The sequence below is a fragment of the Homo sapiens genome, chromosome 16, assembly GCF_000001405.40.
Source record: "Homo sapiens chromosome 16, GRCh38.p14 Primary Assembly".
NCBI classification, from domain to species: Eukaryota; Metazoa; Chordata; class Mammalia; order Primates; family Hominidae; genus Homo; species Homo sapiens.
Genome location: NC_000016.10, coordinates 17,764,948 through 17,777,842, shown reverse-complemented (window position 1 = coordinate 17,777,842; position 12,895 = coordinate 17,764,948). Strand labels below are relative to the sequence as shown.

At 42.5% G+C, this 12,895-nt stretch overlaps 1 annotated feature.

The window, feature by feature from the left end:
* Window positions 702-1,202: an enhancer, noted in NCBI's record as "H3K27ac hESC enhancer chr16:17870498-17870998 (GRCh37/hg19 assembly coordinates)". NCBI's record gives its function as "activates a minimal SCP1, AML or CMV promoter by ChIP-STARR-seq in naive H9 embryonic stem cells {active_cell/tissue: H9 hESC(naive)}" and the evidence as "EXISTENCE:reporter gene assay evidence [ECO:0000049][PMID:30033119]".

The window sequence follows — 12,895 nt, the reverse complement described above, 5'->3', positions numbered from 1 at the left end:
CTGCATCTCGCTGAAGCTGAGGGTATTGCATAAGAGAAGCTGACATTGCTTCACAGTGGAGACTCACAGAAACAGTCACACGCCATGTCTCCCCATCATGTGGGCACAGTGGGTGGTTGTGTCTGGGTGCACAGGTGATAAATGATTGCCATTCAGAATGTCTCTTCCTTACCACTTTGGGATCACCCTGTTTGGAGAAGAGGCTGCAGAATTGTCCTCCCTAACAATGAAAGGGGATCTTGCTTCCTGTGAGTCATCCTAACAATGCCCAAGGTCAGAAGAGAAATTTCCTGCAAGACCTTGCAATTTCTCAGTAATCCTATTTGGGCTCATTGGATGAAATGGCTGTGGGAAAATGATCTGATCATTATTGTAAACATCAGGGCAATCATGTCAGGAGATGCCTCTGAAACACACACCATCTCTGCTTCGGTAACTACTGAAAGGGAGGGGATTGGGGAAGGTGCTCATAGTTCTCTCTTTTTTTTTTTTGTCAGAGAAGACTTTCATGATATTCTGAAAACACCCCTAAGATCTCCCCTCTGGGCTCTCCTCGTGCTTTTCTGTGAAGCCTGGTTTGGTTGAAGACAAAGACTGCCCCCACTTTGGAAGTCCCAACCCTGGGGAAGCCTCTGGCAGTTTCCCCCGGTGCGGTTGGCTTTGTGTATAAGACCGCTTTGGAACTTGAAAGCACTCATCGTGACCCTCAGGGCTCGGTGCCCCGGGAGTCAGGCCCACTGAGAGTGAGTAGCAGTGAAGCTATTTCAGAGGGAACACAGGGACTGTGCCAGGCTGTCCTGGCAGGGAAAGCTGAGTAAAGGGCAGCATGACTTTGTGCAGAATTGGAGCAGAGTGGAAACAGCCCCCCACCTCCCACCACCGTAAGCTTTAGAGTCATACTGCGTGGGCTTGAATTCTGGCCGCTCTGCCTCCAGTTGGCAGGTGCTTTCTGTGCCTCAATTCCCTCCTCTGTACAATGTTAGAAATAACAATGACTGTGTTAAAGGCTAGACACAATTAAATGAGGCAATCCATTTAAAAACTAAAAATAGTGCCTGCATGTAATAAACACACCATCCCCATTCCTCACCCGACTCCTGACATTAATTCATTAGGTTAATTGCCTAAACTTTGGAGTCAGACTGCCCAGTTCATATCCTGATTCAGCCAGTTCCTAGCTGTGTGATGTTCAGTGAGTTGCCTAACCTCTCTGAGCCTCACTTATTTGTAATCTAGATTTCATAACAGTACCCCCTTATAGCATTGCTGTGAGGATTTAATGAATTAATTCACAGTAAACTGAAGACAAGTGTGGCCCCCAAGGGACATTTGCTAATGTCTGCAGATGTTTTGGTTGCAAAATTGGTGTGTGTATTTTCGGCATATGGGTTGAGGTCGATGCTGCTAAACATTTTCCAAGGCACAGGACAACCCCCTACAACAAAGAATTCCCATTTCAAACGTCTCAAGTGCCAAGGTTGGAAAGCCCTTATAGGCCAATTTCATGGCTCAAGGTGAGCCCTGACTATTGTTATTTGAGCAACAGCGCTGTGCCCTTATGCCATGTCAGGAGCTGCACTGTATGCTGGGAATATAAAGATGGATGACATGAAGCCCTGCCCTGAAGTGGCTCAGTCTAGAGGGAAATGCTTTGGGATTGGGGCAGGGAATGGGAGGCAGGAAGCTTGGTCTCTGACAACCAGCCAGAGAAGTTAATCAGAGGAAGACTTCTTTTTCTTTCACTGCCCCTCTAATTGTAGAACAGGCCAAGCTTCTGGTGGGATACCAGGCAAATTAGTTATTGCAACAATTTGATGGCTGCCCTTCTGGAAGGAGGTGCAGGATTCTATGGAGGCACATGGCAAGGTCTCCATTCCAGTTGGAGGAGGTGAGGACAGACGTCTTCTCAAAGGAGGGTACGCTTGTTGCTGCCTCATGAAGGGTGAGTAGGGGTAAGGACAATGAACATGGGGCAGGTGCAGGGCAGAGGAAACCTCACAGAGAGAGGTTTCTATGTATTCCAGAAATGTTTATTGAGCACCTAATGTGTGCCAGGTGCAGTTCTAGGCACTGGGAATACGGCAATGAACCAAATGCAAAAAATCTGTGCCCTCATGGAGCTTAGAGTGTAAAGGTGGGGCCTGCCTCTACAATCAGGCATGACCGACAAGCAAACACATAGGCAGTGAGGCAGGTGGTGACAAGTCCTTTAAGGAAAATCAGGGAAAGAGGAGAGAAAGTGCTTGAGAGGGTGGCAGTATTAAATAAGAAACTCATGAAAGGCCTCCATGAGGGCATGATCTTTGAGCAACAACTTGAAGCACGTGAAGGAGGGAGCCGTATGGATATCTGTGTTCGAAACAAGGGGAACAGCTCATGCAAAGGCCCTGAGGCAGGACCCTCCCTGGCACGTCTGAGGATCAACAGGAAGATGAATGGGGAGGAGGGGAATTGGACGGCAGTGGGAGCCATAGCCAGGTCAAGAAACATCTTGGATGCCATGGTAAAGTGGGTGGATCATCTTCTCTCAGCCAGCAGGGAAATAACCAGACATCTTCTGTGAGACACGGCCCTGTCTGAAGCACATGATACTTTCTCAGACCAAACAGGCTGTCTTCTGGGTAGCTGTGTCCGTTGAATGCCTCTCTGATTACTCAACACAAATACTATTACCCATTGCCTGCAAGATATGTTTAATACAGGAGGATTCTTTTTTGTACCCAATCCTGGCAAAGTTTTGTGGTGGCAACTGAGCCCTGAGTTTCAATCCCCATGACATGGCTTTGGGTACAACACTCTTGATTCTCTGGGTCTCAGATTCCTGACTTAAGGTATGAGGAGACTCAGCAATCACTAGCTAACTTCCTTTTCAGCTCCGGGATTCTACAAATGCCTCAAAGTTCTTCATGGATGCCTGGATAACAGTTGCTAAAATGTGGAGCATTAACTATATGCTAGCATTGAACTAAGCATTTTACATTTGTTTTTATTCAGTAAAACTTCATCAACACCCTGGGATAGAAGTAGTGTTAGCTCCACTTTATTTATTTTTTTTCATTTGTTTTGTTTTGTTTTGTTTTGAGATGAGATCTCACTCTGTTGCCAAGGCTGGAGTGAAGAGGGTGATCATAGCTCACCTCAGTCTTGAAATCCTGGGCTCAGGTGATCCTCCTGCCTTAGCCTCCCCAGTATCTGGGATTACAGGTGCACACCACTATACCCAGCTAATTTTTGTTTTATTTTATTTTTTTGTAGAGACAGGATCTTGCTGTGTTGCCCAGGCTGGTCTCAAACGCCTAGGCTCAAGGACCTTTCCACCTCAGCTCCACTTTAGAGATGAGAAAACAGAGGCACAGCGGGGCTAAGAATATGCTTTAAAGTTGCATGGCTTGTATGTAACAGATGGACCCAGCTAGGTCTGACTGCAAAGCCCATTCTCTGTGGGCTCGATGAGTGTGAATAGGAAAGACGACATCAGAATGGGGCTTCCAAGTATGTGTAGCTCACCAGGGGAGGAGGATGCAGGCATTCTGTTTCTCCTGTCTCTGCCTTCACACCTGTTCTGCTGATGTACCTGAGGGGCTGGGAAGACTCAGACAGGGTCCCTGGGGCCATTCCAGCAAGGTCACAGTTAGAGAGCTAAGTTGTTGAATAAGGGCTGAAGTTTTATCAATTACTTCCCCATGAGGCAGCTTTGAGCAGCAGGTCAGAGGCTTATTCATGGGGCTGCGTGGAGCATCCCAGACCCCTGTGGAGGGTCAGGTAGAACCAGACGTCAGTCCCAGACACTGGGAGACTCAAACAAGATGGGAAACACAGGCTGACACGTTCGCCTTACCGCTCAGAGTTGCCTGGCAACTGCAACTGACAAGCTGCCAACTCGTTGATACAATCACAGCAGGAAGATCAGAGTAAGCCAATTAAAACTTTTTTTTTTTTGCATTTTTCGTTTTTTGTTCCCATAATTTCATTTAATCCTGACTGCCCTCAAACATGGATTAAGAAGCCTGCCAGAGGAGAGTGGAACTCGCACATATGACACAGCCCATTTCCCCCTGCACAGTCAGAAAATATGCTCGTCACGTGCCAGCCATGGAACGGAAGGTAATTTAATTAAAATGTAGGCTTGTCTACCTATTTTACTTAGCTCCACTGTGAAATTTAAAATTTGCCTGGAGTTAGGACCAAATCTGATTTTTATTACTGTATCTTAGTGCTTTCCTGCCACCAATGTTAGCGTGGAGGACAATGCCTGGCACATAGCAGGTGCTCAATAAATGCTTGAACAAATAAATGCATGAATGAAACAGACGCTGGGGAGAATGGTAAAGCTAACTCACATAGGTGAGCTTGTCTTTAAGAAAGATAGTTCTAAAACCATAGGTATCTAAAGTGAAAAATAAGCACCTCCTTTACCTAAGATCTTTCCATGGCACCTCAAGGACCCAGAGGCTCAAACTGCCTAAAGTTCACACAGGGATTTGGTGAGAGAGCCTGGCATTGACCAGGATTTTTTCAACCCTAAACCCATGCACATTCCATGTGTTTCACGCAAAAATTCATGTACCTGTGAGCAGAGTCCAAGTCTCCGCATCTCATTAACCTACATCCCCCACAGAGGTGACACTTTGGAAAGGAAGTAAATGATCAATGTGGTCAAATTACACACTTTTGGGATCCTTCAGAAGAGATATGTTATCTTGCTCTCTGAGTGGTGAGACAGGGAACAGTCAGAGAATTGTAAAACTAGACTCACATAGGTGAGTCTAATGACAATGATTTATTGGATGATAAATAAAACCTTCATTATCATTCACTAGATTTTCATTTATCTTTTTCCATGTTTTCACCCCCTACCCCCTCAGCTTCTGGATGGATTTTAAGCAGCAAATTACAGGCGGTGGCTCAGGCCTGTAATCCCAGCACTTTGGGAGGCCGAGGCGGCGGATCATGAGGTCAGGAGATCAAGACCATCCTGGCTAACACGGTGAAACCCCGTCTCTACTATAAAATAAAAATAAAAAAAATTAGCAGGGCGCAGTGGCGGGCGCCTGTAGTCCCAGCTACTAGGGAGGCTGAGGCAGGAGAATGGCGTGAACCCAGGAGGCGGAGCTTGCAGTGAGCCAAGATTGCGCCACTGCACTCCAGCCCGGGCGACAGAACGAGACTCCGTCTCAAAAAAAAAAAAAAAAAAAAAAAAAAGCAGCAATAGAAGAAGTCAACTTTAGACATGAAGAGTGTATGAGGAGTCAGGAAGAAGGCTAATTTCCTACGCTGCACTAATTCTCTCCCACTTCTCTGAGCTCTGCGTTGCTTCTGATTCCTGATACATTTTTGCCCCGATGTTGCAGCTCTCTAGGTATTCTCTCTCTGCTCTGACTGTTCCTTGTCTCACCATTCAGAGAGCAAGACAACATATCTCTTCTGAAGGATTACAAAGGTGTGTAATTTGACCACGTAGATAATTTACTTCCTTTCCAAAGCGTCACCTTTGTGGGGATGTGGGTTAATGAGATGCACAGACTTGGACCCTGCTCACAGATACATGAAGTTTTGCATGAAACACGTGGAATGTGCATTGGTCTAGGACAGAAAAAATCCTGGTCTATGCCAGGCTCTCTCACCAAATCCCTGTGTGAACTTCAGGAAGTTTGGAGCATCCGGGTCCTTGAGGTGCCCGTTGGAAGGTCTTAGATAAAGGAGGTGCTTCCTTTTAGCTTTAGATACCTATGGTTTTAGAATTGTCTTTCTTAATTTCTTCAAATCATTATTATTGTTTCCCTTCTCCCAGAGTCAATTTAAACATTTATTCCTAATCATCCCCCAATGAGAAAAAAAAGTTTTTTTTTTTGAGAGAGTCTCACTTTGCTACCCAGGCTGGAGTACAATGGCCCAATCCTGGCTCACTGCAACCTCTGCCTCCCAGACTCAAGCAATTCTCATGCCTCAGCCTCCCTAGTTGCTGGGACTACAGGCATGTGCCACCATGCCCGGTTAATTTGTGTGTGTGTGTGTGTGTGTGTGTGTGTGTGTGTGTGTATGTGTTTTAGTAGAGACGGGGTTTCATCGTGTTGCCCAGGCTGGTCTCAAACTCCTGAGCTCGGGCAATCCACCCACCTCAGCCTCCCAAAGTGCTAGGATTAGAGGCATGAGCCACTGTGCCTGGCCTCCCCATGAAATTTTTAAAACCAGAGATACACTGGGTGTATCTGTTAATGCGCTGTATGTATATCTGTGCTTTATACATAAAAAGAATAAGATTGTTTTTCACCCTGTCCCCAAAAGAGCCAATTTTCACCCCCTTGGGGGCAAGATAAGCTCTTTGGAGAATTCATGTTGCAGGAAAAAGGCCTCTATCTTTTCCTCTGACTTCTGGAGCTCAGTAAAATAAAAAGCCAGTCTGTAGCCTGTGCTTTAAAGGACAAGACTCACTGAAGAAAAAAGTAAATAAACAAATAAACAAAGAATCAAAAACTAACTTCTTTGGAATGAGGTCACTGTAGCCTTTTTATGACGTTATTTTCAGAATTCAGCATCTAAACTCTCCTGGCTAGCATTACCTTCTTTTGTCTTGAGCGAGCTCAATCTATGCATTCATACTCCAGGCACAGAATCTTTGTGGCTTGAGTGCAGAAACTAATGAGAGTGTGAAGGTTAATTTTATGTGTGACCTTGACTGTGCCATGGGGTACCCAGATATGTAGCTAGATATTCTATGTCTATGAAGGTGTTTCTGGATGAGATTAACATTGCAATTGGTAGACTGAGTAAATTAGATAAAGCCCTGCCCATTGTGGATGGGCCCTATCCAATCAGTTGGAGGCCTGAATAGGACAAAAAGGAAGAAAAAGAATTCTCTCTCTCTGCCTGTTTTTGAGCTGCGATATCTGTCTTCTCCTGTGCCTGAACTGGAACTTACACCACCAGCTCTCTGGGGTCTCTAGCTTCCCAGTGGCAGATTGTGGAACTTCTCAACCTTTATAATCATGTGTGCCAGTTCCTTATTGTAAATCTCCCACAAGAAAGAAAGAAAGAGAGAGAGAGAGAGGAGAGAGAGAGAGAAAGAAAGAAGAAAGGAAGGAAAGAAAGAAAAGAAAGAAAGAATGAAAGAAAGAAAGAAGGAAAGAAAGAAAGAAAAAGAAAGAAAGAAAGATAGACGTAACTTACTGGTTCTGCTTTTCTGGAGAACCTTGGCTAATATAAGACCTTGGGGACAGAGGATAGAGAGCTTGGTGGAACAACATCATGTAGGCTTGTAAATGACTGTTGTAGCAGACATATATTTTGCCCCTTCCAAATCTCCTCCAATCCCTTTTAATAGCTCTGTGCATACCTCCGCCAGCTTTGCTGCTAATGGCTGGCACATGTGACCTTCTACAGAAGATCGCTCTGGGTCTATTGGAACCACCTCACCTATCCTGAGAACTGAGTTGGCACCCCCTGGAATATCCCATAGCAGTTAACCTGCTGGTGGGGAGCACAAGTCCCTAGTTTCCTTGTCTTGAGGCAGAACAAACTCAGGTGCAATTTATGCTCCACCGCTCCCTCTGGGGTCAGGCTGAGGGTAGAACATGGCCTGAAGTCACATTCTTCCTTACCTTCTCCTTCTCTAACCAGATCTCTTGGAAGCACTTCCTTCATCAATCACATGCACCAAAGTCTTTCCTACCTGTCCTATAGGAAGTTACCAGTTTCACATAACCAAAAGGAGAAGGAACTTTTCTCTGGATATCACCAAATGGTAGCCTAACACTAGGCTATGCAAATATACCATCAGGATGCTCAATTTATATTTGTTTTGTACTGTCGAATTTACAACACCTTTGTCTAAAAATTATTTTGTGGACTCAATGATGCTTTTGTGTTCTTACTGGTTTTCAGAGGCATTGTGTGAAATAAGGTAGTTTCTAACTGTCTCAGGACTTAAAATATGCTGACCTTCCATGGATTGTAAATATGTTTTTAAAATTTCATTTTCCATCACATGAATTTACTTATCACCTCTCCCCATCCTCAAGATCTGCTTCAGGGAGAAGTTGACCAAGCACAATCATAGTAAAGAGTTGGACTTTCTTCTACGAAAAGCGGGAAACCACTGAGTGGTTTTTGTGTGTGTGTGTGTGTGTTTGTTGTTGTTGTTGTTTTGAGATGGAGTCTCACTCTGTTGCCCAGGCTGGAGTGCAGTGGCGCAATCTTGGCTCACTGCAACCTCTACCTCCCGGGTTTAAGCGATTCTTCTGCCTCAGCCTCCTGAGTAGCTGGGATTACAGGCACGTGCCACCACACCCAGCTAATTTTTGTATTTTTAGTAGAGATGGGATTTTACCATATTGGCCAGGCTGGTCTCGATCTCCTGACCTTGCAATCCACCTGCCTTGGCCTCCCAAAGTGTTGGAATTACAGGCGTGAGCCACTGTGCCCAGCCCATTCAGTGTTTTTAATCCAAGAGATAAAATGCTTATATTGGAAAACTCCACCCCTTAGTACTAGTCATAGATTAATTGCATCATTGTTTTTGCTGAGCTAGTCTTCTTCCCCCTCTCTGGAGTGAGTGGAAAGACCCCTGGAATTTTTCCAATCCCCAGAAGCCAGTTGAGTCCCTGCATACTTGGTTTCATATGTATCTATGACCTTAAGTGGCCCACTCCTAGACCTCCATCTAGTCTACTTCATTCATTCAACAAGTATTTATGGACTGCCTACTATGCATTAAGCACTGCCTCCTATCAATCTAGTCTTTTGACTTTTTGAAGTCCCAAGCTCCCTACTGTCAGATGTGTCTCCTAGATCTGGGCCACCCATGATTCTTTCAGTGTTGTGTTTGACTATGTATACTAATAGCATGTAAAACAGAGTTTTGACAAGGAGTTTCCACAAACACCCACGGTGAACCTTGCAGGTGCGTCAAAAAGATTTTACATCACTTTCACACCTTGTGATTGGTTGTCCTATAGGAAGGTGCCAGTTTCATGTAATCAATACCAGAAAGAACTTTTTTCTGGATATCACCAAAGAGTAGCCTAACAATAGGCTATGCAAATATGCTCTCAGGATGCTCAATTTATATTTGTTTAGTACTATCAAATAAACAACACTTCTGTCTAAAAATTGTTTTGTGGACCCCTTGATTTTTTTGTTGTTGTTCTTATTGGTTTTCAAAGGCATTGTGTGAAATAAGGAAGTTTCTAACTGTCCCAGGACTTAAAATATTTTGGCCTTCCATGAATTGTAAATATGTTTTTAAAATTTCATTTTCCATCACATGAATTTACTTATCCCCTCTCCCTGTCCTTGCCTCATTATTCTGAAATGATGCAATAGTGACCCATAATAAATATTTCCTCACCAAACATTAGCTCTTTCCCATTCAACCCTGATTTATCTTGGCATATCACCCTCCTGCATAATGATTTAGGAATGTGCAGATTCTGTCTTAGTCATTGCTCTTCTGCCTTCGTGCTGGTAGCTTCTTGTTTTTCAGGGAAGAGCAAAGCATTAGAATGACAAGCCATTCTGACAAGAGTTGACAAATATCTATCAGGACCATGGGGAGAGTGAAATCTTTTTGACAACTCCATTATTTTTCTTTATCTCCAAGTTTTTAGGGGGGCAATCTTTCCTTCAGGAGGATCAAACTCTCCCCTCCTTCTCTTGCTCTACCTGGGAGAAAAGGAAAAACGTGATTTGTAAAGATCTTTCAAGATATGACTTTTTTTTTTTTTTACAAGTCTTTGCAATACACAATCTAAAAGAGAAAAATCCTGTGTTAGCTATCATAATTGTGGAAAGCTGTGTATGTCCACAAATAAGGTGGCCCCAAATGCATGGTGATCATCATTTTCTCTACTAGAAGATTCTTCACCCTTTAAAAATTTTTAACCAATGTACATTTTTACAGTTGTGAGACATTGATAACATTGCTTCATATCTAGTGATCATAGTAAGTTTGTTGTTTAGTTACACATACATTTGAAATTATATACAGAATTATAATGTATATATAAGGCTTCTTTTCTTGCATTTCAGTAAATCATTCAAATTTTTCCATGCATTTTCTATATGATTTTCTCTGGCATAACAGGGGGACACTTTTGAGTCATTTTCCTGACTCAAAACCAGGAAACTGACATTGGTACAATTCCTCCCACAATTTTCCTGAGCATGCTAATTTCACTTTCATCCGAAGTACATGAGAACTAGCAATTTTTGAGTTCACAAGAAATTGTATTCCAACCCGCAAGTACTAATTTGCACAACTTTAGGACACCTTTTCTTTTATTGTAAAACATAACGAAATAGCTGGGCATGGTGGCTCATGCCTGTAATCCCAGCACTTTGGGGAGGCTGAGGCAGGTGGAGCACTTGAGGTCAGGAGTTCAAGACCAGCCTGGCCAACATGATGAAACCCCGTCTCTACTAAAAATACAAAAATTAGCTGTGCATGGTGGCACACAACTCTAGTCCCAGCTACTTGGTGACTGAGGCATGAAAATTGTTTGAACCCAGGAGGCAGAGGTTTCAGTGAGCTGAGATCGTGCCACTGCACCCCAGCCTAGGTCACAGAGTGAGACTCCGACTCAATAATAATAATAATAATAATAAAATACAAAGATATCCACAACACATGTGAATGGCTCAATGTATAATTATAAAGCAAACACAACTGTCATAACCACCCAGAAAAAGAAATAGCATATTTCCAGGTCCTCAAAAGATCAAAACTCATTCTTTTCCCTGGAGGAAACATTATCTTAAATTTTGTGATAAGAAAAGTATGAACAGCTTTTTTTTAAAATTATTTAAGTTCTGGGATACATGTGCAGAAAGTGCAGGTTTGTTATATAGGTATACACGTGCCATGGTGGTTTGCTGCACCCATCAACACGTCATCTACATTACGTATTTCTCCTAATGTTATCCCTCCTCTAGCCCCCCACCCCCTGACAGGCCCTGGTGTATGATATTCCCCTCCTTGTGTCCATGTGTTCTCATTGTTCAACTCTCACTTACGAGTGAGAATATGTGGTATTTGGTTTTCTGTTCCTGTGTTAGTTTGCTGAGAATGATGGTTTCCAGCTTCATCCATGTCCCTGAAAAGGACATGAACTCATCCTTTTTTATGGCTGCATAGTATTTCATGGTGTATATGTGCCACATTTTCTTTTTCCAGTCTATCATTGATGGGCATTTGGGTTGGTTCCAAGTCTTTGCTATTGTGAACAGTGCTGCAGTAAACATATGTGTGCATGTGCCTTTATAGTAGAATGATTTATAATCATTTGGGCATATACCCAGTAATGGGATTGCTGGGGCAAATGGTATTACTGGTTCTAGATCTTTGAGGAATAGCCACACTGTCTTCCACAATGGTTGAACTAATTTACACTCCCACCAACTGTGTAAAAGCATTCCTATTTCTCCACATCCTCTCCAGCATCTGTTGTTTTCTGACTTTTTAATGATCACCATTCTAACTGGCATGAGGTGGTATTTCATTGTGGTTTTGATTTGCATTTCTCTAATGACCAGTGATGATGAGCTTTTTTTCATATGATGAACAGCTTTTTAAAAAAACATCTGTTCTGTGTACATCTGCTTATTGACTACAAAATACAAGCTCTTAGTCTGTTTCATTTTCAAGTAGCTTTACAGGTTTCATTTATCATGGTAACCAACACTTGCAGTGGTAAGGCCATACTCCCAGGAATAATTACTAAATGTGTTAAATTTACCTGCTTCTTTGTTTACTGATTCTGTCGTGGGACCTCTATAAACATCCAAAGCTAGCATTGATTGAGGTCGTTTCAGAATAATGTGTTTTCTCCCAAAGTACCTTGTTCTTTAAAGTAAAGTAATTGGCAAATGTGTCCCATAATTTGAGCGACTATAAAAGGAATGTGTAGAAGGTGACTCACACTTCTCTGAAGTCTAATTTTGAGCCAGTATCTTCCACCGTATGTGGACCTATGTGGCGTTTCTTTTTTGATTTAAATTTTCATTAATAGTAATGCATCTCAAATATGAAAAGTAAAAAGAATATAGCATGCACCCATGTTCTCGACAATATCCAGGTGTCACCCATGATGTTGTTGTATAATCATTTATGAAAACAAGCAACAAAAACTTCAAAGGGGTGGTTACCTTTCTGATATTTTGTAGGTGTTAGCTTCAGTTGCACCATGTACATTATTCTGAAACATACCTTTTCATTACTCAGTATACTGTTTTTGATATTTAGCCATATTGTTAAATGAAGATCTAGTTCCTTCTTGTTAAATGCTATAGAATCATCTGTTATAGACATATAGTATACTTACAGTGTATACTATAATTTACTTATTCATTTCCCTACTGGTGGACATTTAGATCAATTTGGTTCCCATATTATATTGATGAAAATTTGCAAGTATATAGACAAATGTCAAGAGTTGTACACTGAACAACCATATACCCTCAACCCAGATTCTTTAACATTTTGCTATATGTGCCTTATTACTCCATATATCTCCATCCTTTTGTCCATTTATCCATCCATCCATCTTATTTTTTGCTGCTTTGCAAAGTAAGTTGCTATGTCTTACTATCAAATGTAATGTTAGAGATGGAAAACAAAAATTCCAGGAATTAGGTGATGTTCGGAATTAGGGAGATGATTGAGACTGTACAGGGATGCCATGAGAGAAATCTCCGTGGTGCTGGAATAGCTCCCCATCTTGGTTTTAAATAATTGTGGTGGCGGTTTCATGAATCTGAACATGTGATCAAATGACCTAAAATTATATACATGCACATTGTAGCAATGTCAGTTTCCTGGTTCTGACATTGTTTCAAAGTTGTGGAAGGTGCAACCATTGAGAGAAACTGGGTGATTGGTATACAAGACCTCTTTGTACTA